Source organism: Homo sapiens, chromosome 14, assembly GCF_000001405.40.
Source record: "Homo sapiens chromosome 14, GRCh38.p14 Primary Assembly".
NCBI lineage: Eukaryota > Metazoa > Chordata > Mammalia > Primates > Hominidae > Homo > Homo sapiens.
Genome location: NC_000014.9, coordinates 103,675,267 through 103,693,127, shown reverse-complemented (window position 1 = coordinate 103,693,127; position 17,861 = coordinate 103,675,267). Strand labels below are relative to the sequence as shown.

General features: G+C 45.8%; 1 protein-coding gene across 32 annotated transcripts in view, besides 2 other annotated features; it reads right to left on the bottom strand.

The window, feature by feature from the left end:
• KLC1 (kinesin light chain 1) overlaps positions 1–17,861 on the bottom strand; it is a 72,334-nt gene that overhangs the window by 8,417 nt on the left and 46,056 nt on the right. For 4 of the 32 annotated variants that reach the window (NM_001130107.2, NM_001394842.1, NM_001394843.1 and 1 more), the window contains exons 10-14: positions 17,527–17,576; positions 17,372–17,439; positions 15,605–15,713; positions 13,583–13,744; positions 5,917–6,047 (exon numbers count right to left, since the gene is read on the bottom strand). In NM_001130107.2, coding sequence (NP_001123579.1) covers positions 5,917–6,047; positions 13,583–13,744; positions 15,605–15,713; positions 17,372–17,439; positions 17,527–17,576 — 520 coding nt within the window. Of the gene's footprint in view, positions 1–702; positions 770–5,916; positions 6,048–6,902; positions 7,491–8,091; positions 8,143–13,582; positions 13,820–15,604; positions 15,714–17,371; positions 17,440–17,526; positions 17,577–17,861 lie in introns of those variants that run through there. The other 28 variants (NM_001394832.1, NM_001394833.1, NM_001394834.1 and 25 more) reach the window with 20 other exon arrangements.
• Positions 3,669–3,869: a silencer, noted in NCBI's record as "peak2255 fragment used in MPRA reporter construct". NCBI's record gives its function as "represses an SCP1 promoter by STARR-seq MPRAs in K562 erythroleukemia cells {active_cell/tissue: K562}" and the evidence as "EXISTENCE:reporter gene assay evidence [ECO:0000049][PMID:32103011]".
• Positions 3,769–3,818: a silencer, noted in NCBI's record as "silent region_6169". NCBI's record gives its function as "represses an Ori minimal core promoter by ATAC-STARR-seq in GM12878 lymphoblastoid cells {active_cell/tissue: GM12878}" and the evidence as "EXISTENCE:reporter gene assay evidence [ECO:0000049][PMID:35858748]".

The window sequence follows — 17,861 nt, the reverse complement described above, 5'->3', positions numbered from 1 at the left end:
GCACCAGCACAGGGGCAGGGACTGCCAAGTCCCAACAGCTCGAGCTGCCGGGTGGGCCCCAGGCACCTGAGAAACAGGTTCTAGAGCAGCCACAGGCACCCGGCCACCCACTGACAGCCACACCAAAGGGCGGAGTGGATGAAAACTCAAACGGCCTCCGTGATGGGGAAGGGAGGCAGTACTTTCAGATGTAAACCTGATGTGTCTGTGTGAGGCCCGAGCAACTGCACCGAGTGCTTCAGGTTTTAGTGTCAAACTGACAGCACGCTAGTCATCATGTTAACAGAGTTTTGAATACTTCTGAACACTGAACAACAGCTTAAGTAGACAATTAATTATTAATAGTTATAAACTTAGTAGAGGCTAAAATCAAACAATCATACAAACTAGTAATTGGTCGAGCTTTGACAGTACTTTAACAGAATACATTAATTAGGTTAAACTATTTTTAAAGACCATTTGAGATCATTAATTAATATTCTGAGAATGTTCACAGTGTGAACATGCCCATAATTCACATAATCAGTGGTTAAGCAGAATATAAAAATACTACTGTCACAACTGTCTGTCTAGGAACAAACGTGGCGGCGTCCCCAGCCCTCTGCAGGAGCAGGGGCCGAGCAGGGGCCGAGTGCGGGTCTGCAGCAGACCTGCCAGCGTGGTCTGGGCAGCCTAGGACACAATTCGGGGTAGGCTCCTTACTTGAAAGCGATCTTCAGCAGCCTTGCCACCCACGTTAAGGACATTCAGAGAGCTGGCACGCTTCATGCTGCAACCCGGACACGGACATGCAAGGACAAACGATCAGCACATCGGTCAACCAGCAACAGGAAGCACAAGCAAAGCCCCCTCCAACGCCTCTGTGACACTGGGGGCTCTAGGGACCTTGCCTTCATCTTGCTTGGGTAACCGGGGAGTCCTATGTCTCACTCTATTTAGTGCCCAGGAGAAAAGACCACAGCTTCTCTGCATCTTTCACAGCAAAATGCTTCTTTTAAAGTACCATATGCAAACTCAAAATGTCCTTAGACTTGCACTTTTAAAAAGTGGCTCATCTAGACTGGGTATAGTGGCTCAAGTCTGTAATCCCAATGCTTTGGAAGGCCAAGGCAGGAGGATCACTTAAGCCCAGGAGTTCAAGACCATCCCGGGTAACATGGGGAAACCCCATCTCTACAAAAATACAAAAATTAGCCAGGCGTGGTGGCATGCATCTGTAGTCCCAGCTGCTCAGGAGGCAGAAGTGGAGGATCACTTGAGCCCAGGTGGTCAAGGCTGCAGTGAGCCATGACTGCACCACTGCACTCCAGCCTGGGAGACAGAGCAAGACCCTGTCTCTCTTTAAAACAAAACGAAACAAAAAAAAGACCAGCTGCAGTGGCTCACACCTGTAATCTTTGGGAGGCTGAGGCGGGCAGACTGCCTGAGCTCAGGAGTTTGAGACCAGCCTGAGCAACACGGTGAAACCCCATCTCTACTAAAATACAAAAAATTAGCTGGGCATGGTGGCATGTGCCTGTAATTCCAGCTACTTGGGAGGCTGAGGCAGGAAAATCATTTGAACCCAGGAGACAGAGGTTGCAGTGAGCTGAGATCACGCCACTGCACTCCAGCCTACGCAAGAGTGAGACTCCACCTACCAAAAAAAAAAAAAAAAAAAAAAAAAAAAGCCAGGCGTGGTGGCTCATGCTTGTAATCCCAGCACTTTGGGAGACTGAGGCGGGTGGATCACTTGAGGCCCAGAGTTCACAACCAGCCTGGGCAACGTGGTGAAACCCTGTCTCTACTAAAAATGCAAAAAATTAGCCAGGCGTGGTGGTACACACCTGTAATCCCAGCTACTCTGGAGGCTGAGGCACAAGATTCACTTAAGCCCAGGAGGCAGAGGTTGCAGTGAGCCAAGATCACTCCACTGTAGTCCAGCCTGGGCGACACAGCAAGACTCTGTCTCAGAAAAAAAAAAAAAAAAAAAGTGGGGGGAACCATCTGGGAGCAGAGAGGCTCTGCCTTCAGTCTGATGCTTTTCAGGGAGGGTGCTCCAGGGCTCATGTCAGACTCGTCACCACTAAGGGATCATGAAGAGACACTCAAAACTCACTGCTAAAAGATGATGCATAAATATACTGTCATATTTTTTATCTTTCTATATTAAAAGCTGGGAAATCAACTTTATTGTTAGTAAAATAAACTCTGAAGCCAGTATTTTTCTACTTAGAAAGCAAAATGTAACATAAAGTCATGGTTCTCCACTTAAAGGAATACAGGAATGTATACATATATTTACTTTTCCTCCATCTGATGTATTTAAAATACTTGATGAAACAGCCTATAAATAATCTATAACTTAAATGATGGACAGTCATAAAATGACTATCGTTGTTCACCACCACCATGGATGCCTTTGAACATAAACTCCCCTGAAGTTTTAAAGCTAAAGCAACCGATACTGAGGGTTACTTGAATTCTGAACGTGAACTGCATGCAACATGGGACAGCGAACATGAGCGCAGCAGTTCCTGGGAAAGCCAAGGACGGTGGCTGTGAGGCTGAGGCACAGGCTTGAGGGGTGACAGGGACAGCCTCACACAGGACACTGGGATGAGGCTGAAAGCCCAGGGCACCCACCCGTGTGTCAGCAGTGCTGTGAGCACAGCGCCTGGCACATGGCAGATACTCAGCCAGCCCCTGCCGAACAACTGCACCAAAAGCAAGACCTGAATTTCCTTATCCCCAGGCAAAACTCACCCCCAAAATGTCCCAACCAGGACAAAACAAAAACATCCCAATGAAGCCCACAACAGACATTGCTGGAGTCCCAAACAGGTTTTTCTCTACCTAGAACCACTCAAGAACAAAGTATAAAATCAAACCAAATCACAAGTAAATTATCATCTGACATACTCAGTTATTCTTGCTATAAAGTGGCCATTAACTTTTTTTTTTTTTTGAGACGAAGTTTCACTCCATCGCCCAGGCTGGAGTGCAGTGGTGTGATCTTGGCTCACTGCAACCTCTGCCCTACTGGGTTCCAGTGATTCTCCTGCCTCAGCCTCCTGAGTAGCTGGGACCACAGGCATGCACCACCTGGCCCGGCTAATTTTTGTATTTTTAGTAGAGACGGGGTTTCGCCATGATGGCCAGGCTGGTTTCAAACTCCTGATCTCAAGTGATCCACCCACCTAGGCCTCCCAAAGTGCTGGGATTACAGGCATCAGCCACTGCACCGGCCGCCATTAACTCTTTTTAAAAGAGCTACACAACCTTCCCTCAAACCCCCTTTTACGAAACGAAAGAACAACTCGAATCCTCAACGTCTCTTCCTACCACTCTTGCGAACTGCCTTGTTTGAACACGTGGCATTCAAAACCTTTCAGTACAGTCACTGTTAGGAGTCAGCCAAACAGCAAGCTGCAAACACCCTGGTCCTTGAGCGATTCTCAAAAAGTGGCCCCGGGCCAGCAGCCCCAGCACTGTGGGAACTTGTGTGAAATGCAAATTCTGAGATCAGGGACTCAGGAATTGGAAACTCAGGGGTGGGGCCTCACAGTCTCTGTCTGAACAAACCCTCCAAAAGATGTCTGAGACTACTGTCTAGTTAATAAAAACAGTCACTCTTATTTGGAAAGATTATTCAGTTGTATGCATTTTACGGGATGCAATTTCCAAAGTCATGTAGAAAACGTTAGTCCGTGCAAGTGTGTGCATCTATGTCACATGGTTCAGGCTGGCAGTGCTACAGCCCCATGAACACTGACCACAGTTCTAACACTGGGGACTGGTCACACACTGCTACATTTTTATCACGGCAAAGACACAAAACACGAGAAAACAGAACAACTCTGAGAGCTGTCATGTGGGAGTGTGGTCCAAGTTACAACACTCAGCACCAGAACTGGACTCTGCACTTAAAAGGCTTCAAAACTTAAGAACCTCAAACAATCAGTGTGATCCCCTCCAGGAATTAAATAATGTCCAGAATGCTCTCTCTGGGCATCATGTAATTCCTGGAGGGGATCTGAGAGCTGCTGTGTGACACCTCACATCATTCCAAGGAAGCGACACCAAGCAGTCACACAGCACTGCTCCAACCCTCTCAATGCTGTTTAAGAAGAAATGTGTAATCTCAAAATTCATCGAGAGGCAGATAGTAATCTATCATTTTGGTTCTGGAAATCTGTAAACATTTTAAAATAAGATCACTATTCCAAAGGCAATTTAAAATCCATTTCCCCCAAATAAGAGTTCATTTGTTTCATTGTAAGCAATTTGCTGCTAAGTCCCCATAAACTTCCAGAAGTCCAGTCTTCAAATCCTTGGGATCTTCCAGGGAGTTTTCTGAATGAACATTTGTGGGGCTCCTAAAACTCCCTCTCCAGAAATGGGCTGGAAAACAGTTGTGAGAAGCTCCTTACAAAAGCCACGTCACTCCTCTTGCCTCAGGCCTGCACCTCTCTCACAGCCATGAAGAGAAGTCTCCATCCACGACAGAGACTCCCACAGGGATACCAAGCGGACAAGAGGGTGAGCCCTACCACTAAGGGACTGGGCCATCTCTGGCCACCCCGCACCCTGGCCGTGTATGGCAACAGTTCTAAGGGCTTAGGTTATCAGGGATACTGAGAGAGATGAAAAAGTGGACATACTTTTTTTTTTAAATAGCTTTTAAAAGACAAAATAGGCCAGGCACGGTGGCTCACACCTGTAATCCCAGCAATTTGGGAGGCCGAGACGGGAAGATCACCTGAAGTCAGGAGTTCGAGACCAGCCTGGCTAACATGGTGAAACCCCGTTTCTACTAAAAATACAAAAAACTAGCCAGGCGTGGTGGCATGTGCCTGTAATCCCAGCTACTTGGGAGGCTGAGGCAGGAGAATCACTTGAACCCAGGAGGCGGAGGTTGCGGTGACCGAGATGGTGCCATTGCACTCCAGCTTGGGGAACAAGAACGAAACTCCATCTCAACAACAACAACGAAAAAGACAGAGTAACGAAACAACTGATCAGGCACATAACTTTATTATTTCCAATATGTTCTCCAGAAGAACTCGGTTTCACCATCCTGAGGTGATCAGACTTCTTACTCACAGAACTTAAAGTGGGATCACTTGTAAAATAGTTTTACTAGGAATCAGTCTCTAAAAAGTCGGTCACCATTTAGGAAGTCAGAGTTACACAGAGTGGCTGGCAAAAGTCTGCCTCATGAGAAATACGTCCAAGCCAGGAGCAGCTGCCCAGAGGTGACCCTGGACACTGCGGCAGGGACAATCTGTCAACTTTGTGCACCATATTAAAAACAAAGGATATCTTAAGAACCAAATTCCTTTGACAACTTAAATGTTATTTTTCAAAAGCCTCTAAGACCCATGACTCAAACCTTTTTTTAAACATATGAAAAGCCTGAGGTTTTGAAAATCTCCTTATAATAAAGTCTTAAAAGTTCTGATCCTATTTGAAACCATTTTTCTCCCTATTATAATACTGTATGAGATTTAATATAGTCATAGCTAACATCTGATTTATTTAAAAGATTAAAATTTTTAAAGAATTTAAACTAATGCTAATTTAAAAAATAATGCATATCTAGAGTAAACAAGTTCAAAATGCTCAACATTTTAATATAAATGCCCACATTTCGTTGCTAAGGCTTTCTTAGAACATGTGACAGAATCAAAAAATTCCATAAATTTCTTTTAAAGGTATTCGCCCTTTAGCCACTAACAGGAAGTTACCCAATTACTTCTCAACCTATCCTGGGAAAAACCTACGTGGCAACTATGAAACCCTTCGGTTGTGAGAATACGGGAACCAACTGGAGTGTCTTTCCTCAAGTCTGTGGGTGAGGAAGGCTGCGCTAGGAAGAGAAGCGGCCCAGCAGCCGGCGTGCAGGGAGTCGGGAGAGCTGGAAGAGATAGTTACCCGGGGTTCTTTGGCTCACTCTCTCGTGAACTTCCTCCCTTCAGCTTCCTAACCAGCTTCTCACTGCTGCGTCTAATGGAAGCCCGGAGTTTGCTAAAGGAACCACTGCGTTTTAAAGATCCAGTGCCATCCTGAAAAAAACGTGAACAAACGTGAAGCTGCAGGTGGTTCTCCCTCCTTCCCACAAGAGCCACACCGGGTGCAAATAAGAGCTCCACCAAGGCCGCCCTGCTTGCCAGCAGCTCACTGCTGACAGAGTCTTGCAGAAACCACCAATTACCATGTACGTGAATATACTTTAACTAGAAATTGTTCTTTTTAAGTTTCATTAAAGATAATCCAATGATCATGAAAACCTTTGGACATAAGGAAGCTCATTCAAACAAGTGATCGCATCCCAAAAGCAATGTGAATCCTGCTATTTTGAGACAAAAGCCAACACACAAAGTCTCAGGAAAATTAAAGCAGCTTCTAAGAATATCATCAAAATCGACTTCCACATTTAACAGATACATAAGCATCTGGTACAAGTAACACAGTACAGGACCCAAACCATTTGGATCTGACAGAGGCTCTTCCTTTTAACAGTTTCGTCTAAATGCAATAGTTGGAGGTACTGTTTCCTTCAGTAAATTTTACAGAACAGTTTCATTAAATGTTAACTACAAAGGTGGTTGGAAAATTAAATAAAATGCCCATTCTATACAAATAACTAAAAATCCTCAGACAACCTTGTAGGGAGGTGAGAGTGCCCAGCTCTCATCTTAATTGATTCAGGTATTAATAAGTGAAATACTTGGCAGTATCTGAACATGAAAATAAAAAACACAGAGTGAAGAAGATGTGCATACAGCAGCATTTCTTCTTGGAAGGAACTCCTTGGTGAGATGAACTGTCACCCCATGACCCCTAGCAGCTGTGCCATGCGGCGTTTCATGGATAAAGAGTGAGAAGTTCTACCAAGCAGACAGACACCAAGACACAGGTCAGTCGGAGTGAGTTTATTAGAAGTTAGAAAGACACAAATACACAAATCACTGAGCACTTCAAGATTAGTAGAGAAAAGCAGAATGCCCAAATTTCACACACAGACTACACAGCAAATGCTACTGGGGCATATCCTAGGGAGACCCGGAGTCCGAGCGGGGCCCCCAGGGCTCTAAGTACCACGGAGCACGTGCGGCACATGCCTTGCTGTAAGGCTTAGTTACGTCAACAGGTCACCGTCATGCCATTGCAACAACACCTTGTGTGACACTTAACTACCTGTTACCAAAGTGAACAGCTAATCGCTCTTAATTTTTAAACTCGTGTATTACACAGTAAATGGATTTTATTAATACAGTTTATATTACTAAGTACATATCTGGCAAAGCTACATGTATACAGAAATCAGGAACCCCCCCAAAAAGGACAGCAGCACCGAAAGGAATGGCCAGTTCACAGAGAGGTGCAGCTCTGACAAGATCCTAGAGGCTGCTAGACACAGCGGGCAGCACTGGAGAGAGAAGGGAAGCTGCGGGAGGCGCCACCCGTCATGCAGGAGACAGTGTGAGAGTCACGGGCGGCTAGGCCTGTCAGACAGAAAGGAGAGAGAAAACCCACGTGAAACCGCGGCGAGGAAAGGCAACAGGCTCTGCATAACAGCCTGGCTTACAGTATTTCTAGGTCACAAGTCTCAGCAGCCTTCTGAGTGGCTTTAGGACTGGGATGACCTTCTGCCTGCTTCTACCAGTCCAGCATAAAGCAGGTGCTGGGCCTCATGGTGCATTTCACAGAATCCAGACTGGTCCATTCCCAATGGTCATCAAAGTAAATGTCAACACTTTAAGCGTAAAGATTGGCAACGTATTAGAAATCTCCTTGACACTTGGTGTAAAAGGCTTTACAAGTAACTGTATATAAGGAGATTATGCAATGAAAAACATAGGGACCAAAATAAAGGCTACAGGTATGACTTTCATTCTCTTAAAAACACATTTTAGACATTTCAGAAACTTTAGGAAACCACGGACTTTAAAAGTCTACAGCCCATTTTAAACATGCAGTTGATAATCCAAAAGAAAATTAATTTCCACAGGCAGCAATGCGTCCTGGGTCCTGCCAGGTTGGAAAGCCGACGTCTCGACAGAAGCGCCAGACGGCAGGGCCTGCGCCCCGCCCGCTCGGACTCACCATGGGACGCTGAGCAAGTCAGTTAACCAGCCCGAGCTTCATTTTCCTCATCTTTAAAATGGAAAAATAACACTTGTTACCAACACCTCAAAAATGTGGGGAGGACAAGAAAACATAAGTTTTTGCTGCTCTTGAGAAAAAGGATGCTAAAATGCTAACGTATCGTCATTAACAGTGCAGCCCCTGCTGTTCATTTCAAAACTCAGCGCTACACTACAGTAGTTTATAATACACCTCAACTAAATGCTTGGCAGAACACAGAAGATTCATTTCACTCAGATTCAAAAGTATTTCATGTGACACACACACACACGCGTGCACACACGCTCACTCATGCTCTCTCTCCCCTCTGCAGCTGCTGGAGTAGCAAGCTGACAGCTGACAGCTGGGCAATGGGCCCAGGAGTCCCAGAATTGGGGTCCGACCCAGCTGCCTCCTCCTCCCTGAGCCTCTGCAGACCCAGACCAGCACCTGGGGTTGGCAGTGGAGCGGGTCTGCCCCACTCTGGGTCAGTCTGCCTGCTTCCCTGAACTTGCCACCTGAGGACCTTGGCTGTGAGAACCAGGGGGAAGGCCGGCGGCTGCCCTGGCCCAGGCAGATTTCCATTCAACTGGACTTCAGGGCCTGGGAGGATTCACTGCATTCTAACAGCTTAAGAAACTGTCTACCTCTTTATATTACTGGGAAAGAATATTCACATTACAAAGGTGGGTTACCTGAGCAGGATTAATAGGATAATGTGTTCACAGTTTAAAAATATGCAGTCATCGTTATTATCTGTATACAGTAGGATCTCAGATAATTTAGTGCTTAAGTTTATTTATTTTTGGCATATTCTAGTTGTCTTACTAGTGTAATTTGAGACAGATTCTGGCTCTGTCACCCAGGCTGGAGTGCAGTGGCATGATCTTGGCTCAATGCAGCCTCCACCTACTGGGTTCAAGCAATTCCCTGCCTCAGCCTCCTGAGTAACTGGGATTACAGGCGCGCACGACCATGCCTGGCTGATTTTTGTTTTTTTCGCACAGACGAGTTTTCGCCATGTTGGCCAGGCTGGTCTCGAACTCCTGGCCTCAAGTGATCCACCCGCCTCGGCCTCCCAAAGTCCTGGGATTACAGGCATGAGCCACCTCGTCCAGCCCTTATTGTCATTTTTTAAAAATAAAAATTCATCTATTTCTAACCATATATTCCATTCCCCAATAATCCTAGGTAAGAATTTAGTGTCTTCGAAACGTGTAGAAATCTTAACATGGGAGCAGTGTGAAAAGAATGGCAAGACGGAGAGAGGCTGCTTCAGAAGGCCCCAGCAGAGCTGGCGACCTGCAGACAGACAAAGGTGGTGCAGCTGGGAGGCAGACCCCGGGCTCCACCTAGGATAGAGGATGTGTGATGTGGCTCTGTGTGTCTTTACAGAGGATGGGACCACTGTAAAGACAACTGCTAAATGATGAGACAGCCCAAGGGGCTCCCACATCCCAACAGGGACCTGGTGCTGGTGGCTGACACATGCACATCACACCATGAACATGAAGCCACACGGACAGCAGTTATAGAAGACCCAGTTTTACCCAGAAAAGGATTTCTGTGCACAATGCAGTTGCATTTTCAGAGGCAAGACCGTGAGAGAGAGCCAACTGAGACTCACGGTGACGGCGGCTTCCAGATCTGCATGTGTCACACGAAAATGAGGTCACAGAGGTGCCGCTGTCAAGTAGTTTAATCATAGTCCCTACCGTGTGTACCTAAAGAAGAGAACTGTCCTTCCCTGGACAAACCACCCACCAGGTCGAGACTCCGATCCGGACGCTCCCTGCACATTACCAGGGTCTGTCACCACCCGCTTTGCTTCTCAGTTCTGTGTGACACCAACGCCCAGGGCCCACAGGGGACGATTATCATTAACCAGTTTGTCCTTTCTTTGACCACATAACTCTTTGTTTTCAATGTTACTTATGAATATTGAGAAAAACTGAGCCGAATATCTGGTGTATGTGGTTATTATAACTTAATCAAAAGCTGTCACATTCATTCCTGGCAGTCACTTCTGCTGAAGCTGTAACTTCCCAACAGGGAGGCACAATGTTTTTCCCTATGGTAGTAGTTTTCAACCTTTTAAAAAGCATTAAAATGCCTTCTAGGCTGAGGCAGGAGAATCGCTGGAACCCGGAAGGCAAAGGTTGCAGTGAGTGGAGATTGTGCCACCTAACTCCAGCCTGGGCAACCTCCATCTCAAAAAAAAAAAAAAAAAATACATATACATACATATACATATATATATATATAATTGAAATCACATTTTCTCATTATACAGATAACAGGTATAGTTGTTTTTTCTTTTTTCTTTTTTTTCTCGAGACACTCTTGCTCTGTCACCCAGGCTGGAGTGCGGTGGCGTGATCTTGGCTCACTGCAACCTCTGCCTCCAGGTTTCAAGGGATTCCCTGCCTTGGCCTCCCAAGTAGCTGGGATTACAGGTGCCTGCTACCATGCCCAGCTAATTTTTGCATTTTTAGTAGAGATAGAGTTTCCCCATGTTGGCCAAGCTGGTCTCAAACTACTAACCTCAAATGATCCACCCGCCTTGGCCTCCCAAAGTGGTGGGATTACAGGCATGAGCTACAGCAACCGGGCACAGGTATACTCTTTTTTTTTTTTTTTCTTTTTGAGACAGAGTCTTGCTCTGTCACCCAGGCTGGAGTGCAGTGACGTGATCTTGGCTCACGGCAAGGTCCGCCTCCCGGGTTCACATCATTCTCCTGCCTCAGCCTCCTGAGTAGCTGGGACTACAGGCGCCCGCAACCATGCACGGCTAATTTTTTATATTTTTAGTAGAGAGGGGGTTTCACCGTGTTGGCCAGGATAGTCTCGATCTCCTGACCTCGTGATCTGCCCGCCTCAGCTTCACAAAGTGCTGGGATTACAGGTGTGAGCCACCGCGCCCGGCAAGGTATAGTCTTAACATTTACCTCAACACCTATGTCTCTATTTTAACTTAATTGCATAATACTGAAAAAAATCTTGATGCACACAAGTAAGTGGCTACAGTGGTAACGGTTTGCTTTGCAATCTCAGGGAAATTTTCACTTAAACAGAAACAGCATGAGAAACTTTGTTCTAACATCTATATAAAGACAAACTAATGTGCTGACCTGAACCGTGTTAATATTTAAATCAGACAACAGTTAAAATGGGCCCCTTTTACTGTCTCTAATTATCCCTCAAAAAAGTTGATTAAAAATTAATACCTATGTGCATACTGCCCTACCATTTAAAAAATAAGAAAAGTCGGTGGTTTATGCCTGTAATCCCAGCACTTTGGGAGGCCGAGGCGGGCAGATCACGAGGTCAGGAGTTAGAGACCAGCCTGGCCAACATGGTGAAACCCTGTCTCTACTAAAAATAAAAAAATTAGCCAGGTGTGGTGGCGCACACCTGTAATCCCAGCTCCTCAGGAGGCTGAGGCAGGAGAATTGCTTGAACCAGGAGGCAGAGGTTGCAGTGAGCCGAGATAGCGTGACTGCACTCCAGCCTGGGCGAGAGAGCAAGATTCTTGTCTCGGGGGGGAAAAAGTGTACTTTGAAAAGAAAATCAAAAGTTGGTCGAGTTTAGCATTCTGCCTTCTCAGAACCTTAGAGTTGTGGGGTTGGAGGCCAAGGCCTTCCTCTGAAGACTCTGAGGCAGCCTCAGCTGCCCACCCAGTGAATTCACTCATTTTATCTAAGACTCCATCTGAAGAGGGGGCTGCCTCCATGCACAAAGTGAGTCTAGGAACCACTGCACTGGATAATTTAAAACTCAAACTGTTTTGGTAGATCACCCGTGGCCAACGCACCCTGGGATGAATTCCATCAAACCTGCAGAGCTATCAGGGGACACACCAGATACACAGCCTGCACATGGCCTATAGAATCAGGTGTCCAAAGTGAGAAAGGAAGCGTGGAAGGAGGAAACCAGCAGGCGTGCAGAGGAGCAGCTGCTTTCATCCCCAGCAGCGACACTTCCAGCCCGCGGGCCTGACGGGGACACCTGCCCACGAACCCCCTGCAGGGGACACGAGTTCTCCTTCCTCTCCGAGTCCATCTTTAAGATGGTAACAGAGCTCTGAATCGTCACCATTTTATCATCAGATGATTTCATGTCAACATGGACCTAGAAATACTGTCTCAAGAGAAACTTCCTCCAGAACTTCATTCAAGAGGATCACAATCTGCACCCTGGCTCCTACAGCCTAGATAAAGGACTTGTCCTTCTATACGAAGCATGCAGATACGACAGCAACCAAGAGAAGAGTACAGTACACAGTTCTGACAGGATGCGGGCGACAGGGAGGCCTGCGGGCCAGGATTTCAGTTTAGACTACTGCCCAACTGGGGTTGAGTGGGCAAAGCAGATGCTGATTGGTTGTCTTGGCACAGAGAAAAACCAAAGCAAGAAAGCTGCCAGATAGACAGTCAAAGAGAATGTTCTCCCTCAAATTTTGCTACTAACATTTTTTATAAAATATTTATTTAGAATGCTAGCTCCTACCAAATTGCTATAGCTATAGAAAATCCTAAAGAATAAAAGGATTTACATTGTAAGAAAGCCCAAAACTACAATTTGGCAGAACATCTGTAGAATTATAACTAATCAAACTGTACTACGGCAACTTCAAAAAACCAACTGTGCCCCTAGATGAGTCAAATGCCGCCTTCAATTCTCCCTGACAAAAGTAAAATACCAAAGACATCAGCTTATGTATCAAAAAAAAAAAAAAAAATCCATGTGCTAAAAAATTCACTGGAGAAAAAATGTCCAGAAGGCCACATGGTCTTTGGCAACCACTGGATAAACAGCAGTGGTTAGGAATTTCCAGGGGCAAACCAGTAAAACCCAGAGGGGGCCCTGTGCAGCCTCTCAGGCACATGGCGGGCTGGCAACCAGGAAGAGCCAGCCCCAAAGATCTGGACGCCCTCTCAGGGGAAATGCAGGACGCTCAGGACTGAGGCAGGACATCAAGAGAGCAGCCATGTAAGCTCTTGTTTCTGACCTGTTTTCTAAAAACAAATTCCACTTAAACAGCATCTCCCTTTAAAGCATTTCAACTCATTCTAACAAAATCTAGAGCAGCCTGGTCAGTGAAGTTAGGAGCACTGGAGTTAGCAATGAAATGGGTGAGTTAAAGAAGCAAGTTAGTTATCTGCCACACTGATCCCAATATTAAAATGAAACCAGACAGGGATCATGCTTTAAATAGCCAGGACACTCAATCAGCATTTAAGTGCTCAAAGTTAAGCCAAACAGCTTTCATGGATTCCTGAGAAGAAAATTACCACTTTAAACAAATAACAGACTTCAGTATTAGCAGAAGTGAAGAACTTACAGAAAGCTTAATTGGCACTTAATTTGAGAAAAGCAGAAGGTCTAGCACATGAGACAGGAGGAAGGCCTGGCAAGCGCCACTTGGGGGCGCCTCCCGGAGCACGTGCCCGCTGTGTACTGTACTTACCCCGTTCCACTCTACGCTCATACTCACTTCCTCCCCTCCGTCAGGGCCACTCTCGTACTTGACCACGTCCACGTTGAGGCTCTCACGGCTCCTGCGCTTCTCCATGTTCTCAGGGTCATTGAGCACTTCTGCCACCCTCTGTTTGTGAACATTGTCAAGACCCTGTGAGCCAGGCAGGGGAAAATGGTTTGACCCATTAGCACTTAAGATTTTCTTAGGTATTTCTGAGATACTTCGCTAGAAAAAAAAAAAAAAAACAGTTCTTAATCACTGGAGGGAAAAACATTGGAAGAGTGGTTCCTTGGAGGGGGTGAGGGTGGAGGCGGGGAACTGGAAACACAAAGGACCCCTCAGAGGAACAGTGATGGGGCTGGGATTGCACAGGGTGTGTACCCGTGTTCAACTATTCTGGGTCTATACCTAGGACTGCAACTGCTGGGTCATGTGGTTTTCTAAGTTTAACTTTTAGATAAGCCATCAAACTTCTCCAATGCCTGAACCATTTTACATTCCCACCAGCAAGAAGACATGAGACTCCAGCATCTCCACCTCCTCACCAATGCCTATTTTCCATTTGTTCGCTTATTATAGCCAGTCTAGTGGGGATGAGGTAGTATCTCACTGTGATTTCAGTTAATATTTCTATAATGACTAAAGATGTTGAGTATCTTTTCATGTGATTGTTGGCTATCTGTATATCATCTTCAGTAAAATGTGTATTCAGGTCCTTTGCTCATTTTTTAACTGGGTTGTCTTTTTGTCTGGATACCAAAACCTTATGAGATACATCATTTGCAAATATCTTCCCCTGTTGCATGGGGGTCTTTTCACTTTTTCTTTTTTTTTTTCTTTCTTTGAGACAGGGTCTCGCTCTGTTGCCCAGACTGGAGTGCAGTGGTACCATCTAAGCTCACTGCAACCTCCAGCTCCCGGGTTCAAGCGATCCTCCCACCTCAGACTCCCAAATAGCTGGGACCACAGGCTTGGGCCAACACACCTGGCTAATTTAAAAAAAAAAACTTTTGTAGAGACAAAGTATCACTATGTTGCCCAGGCTGGTTTCCAACTCCTGAGCTCAAGGGATCCTCCCACCTCAGCCTCCCAACGTGCAGGAATTGCAGGTGCTCAGCACCACACCCAGTCCCCTTTCACTTTCTTGATGATGTCCTTAGATGCACAAGAGCTTTTAACTTTGGTGAATCCAACAGATCTAGTTTTTATTTTGCTGTTCATGCTTTTGGGGTCATATTCATGCTATTTTATTTTATTTTATTTTAATTTTTGAGACGGAGTCTCGCTCTGTTGCCCAGGCTGGAGTGCAGTAGTGCAATCTCGGCTCACTGCAACCTCTGCCTCCTGAGTTCAAGCGACTCTCCTGCCTCAGCCTCCCCAGTAGCTGGGACTACAGGCTTGTGCCACTGCACTGTGTTTTTAGTAGAGATGGGGTTTTTCCATGCTAGCCAGGCTGGTCTCGAACTCCTGACCTCAGGCAATCTACCCACCTTGGCCTCCCAAAGTGCTGGGATTCAAGTGTGAGCCACTGTGCCCAGCCTCATGCTTTTTTTTTTTTTTTTAAATTGAGACGGAGTCTCGTTCTGTCACCCAGGTTGGAGTGCAGTGGCATGATATCGGCTCACTGCAGCCTCCACCTCCCAGGTTCAAGCGATTCTCCTGTCTCAGCCTCCCGAGTAGCTGGGATTACAGGATTACAGGCGTGTGCCACCACGCCCAGCTAATTTTTGTATTTTTAGTAGAGACGGGGTTTCACCATGTTGGCCAGGCTGGTCTTGAACTCCTGACCTCAGGTGATCTGCCCACGCTGGCCTCCCAAAGTGCTGGGATTAAAGGTGTGAACCACCACGCCCGGCCTCATGCTCTTTTAAACAATATAACTTTATTTGTTCAAACTAAAATAATCAACATTTTCTATTTCTAAATCAAGCTTTCAATAAAATTCATGTAAAAGAGAAGCATTCAATTCAAAGTTCCCATGGGCCGGTTAAGGACAGAAGTATGACTAACCTGTTTACGAGACCTCATAGCAGCTTCTTCTAACGTTTCTGCAGCTTCAAATTTGCCTTGACGTCTGTAAAGTGCCCCAAGGTTTTTTAGAGTGGTTGTAACAGTTGGACTGTAAGAAAGCACATGACATACAGAACTATGACATATAAGCTCTGAACAACCACTATCAACAGCACATAATCTAAAGAACTAACAGACTTCTGTTTTGGCTTGAATATATTTTAACTTTCTCTTGTACTTTTCTGAAACTGTAAAATTGTAAAGCGTTCTTCCCTCTCAGGTAGCTCTACCTCCCATGACCCTGGCCCGTCCTGTAGACAGCCCCTGCAGGCCAGGCTAACACCACACTCCATCCAGGCTGAGGCGGCTCTCACAGACCACTGGCCACTCTGTCAACAGAAACATCTGGGCCAGGTCTGTGTGGTATCAGCATGCTTTCCCTGGAGACGACTTGGTCTGCGCTGACAGTAACGACGAACAGTGCTCTGAATGTTGCTGCTCACGTGCTGCCGTCTCCCCTCAAGTACCCGGGAGAAGACAGCAAAGCAGAACCTCCTTATCAGTGGGGTGTGAGGGCAGAGGATAAATGCTTCATGTACCAGGGAAGCAATAAGCAGATGGCCGAGAGGACGGCTGTGTTTCTGTGTTCTTTCTTTCTTTCTTATTTTTCAAACTGTATCATTGAGCTTGATGTTTCTGCATTCTTGATAGAGCAGACTTACTAAAAAAATTATAAATAAACCTAGATTCATTTTAGCATAGATAAGTACTTCGAGAGAGTTCTGTTCACTTACTTACAATAGGCATTTTGGGTACAGAAATAAAGAAGCTATTTTCTATGTCTCTGAAACAAGTAATCTATGGTAAGTGCTATGGGAGCCCTAGAGAGAGTTCAGAGAGTTTTCTGAAAATAGATGAATGGTAGGCTGAGTCTTAAAGGATGAGGAAAGTTAAGAGTGGAAAGACACAGTGGCTCACACCTGTAATCCCAGCACTTTGGGAGGCCGAGGCGGGTGGATCACCTGAGGTCAGGAGTTCAAAACCAGCCTGGCCAACACGGTGAAACTCTGTCTCTACTAAAAATACAAAAAATAGCCAGGCATGGCGACAGACTGTAGTCTCAGCTATTCGGGAGGCTGAGGCAGGAGAATCACTTGAACCTGGGAGGTGGAGGTTGCAGTGAGCCATGATCACGCCATTGCACTCCAGCCTGGGAGACAAGAGCGAAACTCCATCTCAAAAAAAAAAATAGAGTGGAAAGACAGCCAAACAGGTGAGCCACCTGGACCCAGGGACAGCAGCCATCACAGAGGGCAGTCTGCACAGGCTCGGGCTCAAGAGGCAAGGCTCTCGGGCCGGCCACGGAGGGGCCTACACTTCCCTCTGCAGAGGACAAGGCCCCATGGGCTGTGAGGAAAAGGAGTGTGTGTGGATCTGTGTCTCCAGCGCTGTGTGTGAGGGGCTGGCTTTCCCAGGCCTGCTGGCATGCTTCTCATGAATTTACTGTATGGTTTCTGCCATTAAAAGTAAAAGTAATGGCAAAATCGCAATTACCTTTGCACCAACCTAACATGATAGTGGGTTTTATACATGTAAGTGATCTCATTTACAAGGTTAGTGGGGTTTTTTTAATTGGAATTCGGGAAAAACATGGGACTGTGCACTTAAGGAACACTACACATTGGTCATTTATAAGCTGCCCTGTAGAACACAATTACCTTCCCCCTGCTTTTTGGTTTTTCCAGCCAAACGCAATTCCAGACATACCTATCAACTTTGCAGGCTTTGTACCAGCCGCCATACTCTCCAAAAGATGTCCCATCCTTTTGCTTTCCCTAAATTATAAGAAATAATTTCAAATGAATAATTATCTTGAATGCAGTATATACAATTTAGAAAATCTCAAAATAATAAATTCTTACTTTGCATTCTTCTCTTTCTTCAGCATGCATCCAGATGGGTTTATTTTCATCTAGGGAAGAAAACACAGCATACAGGTTGAGCATCCTTAATCCAAAACTCCAAAATCTGAACTGCTCTAAGGGGAATTTCCTTTGAGTGTCAAGTCGGCACTCGAAAAGTTTCAAACTTTGGAGCACTTTGAATAATGGGATATTTAACCTGTACTATAAATGAAGGATAACAGAGCCTGCTAAGTAAACTAGAAATCATGAAGCCTCTGTGGTTTTTTATTTTTTTGAGATGGAGTCTCACTCTGTTGCCCAGGCTGGAGTGCAGTGGTGTGATCCCGCCTCGC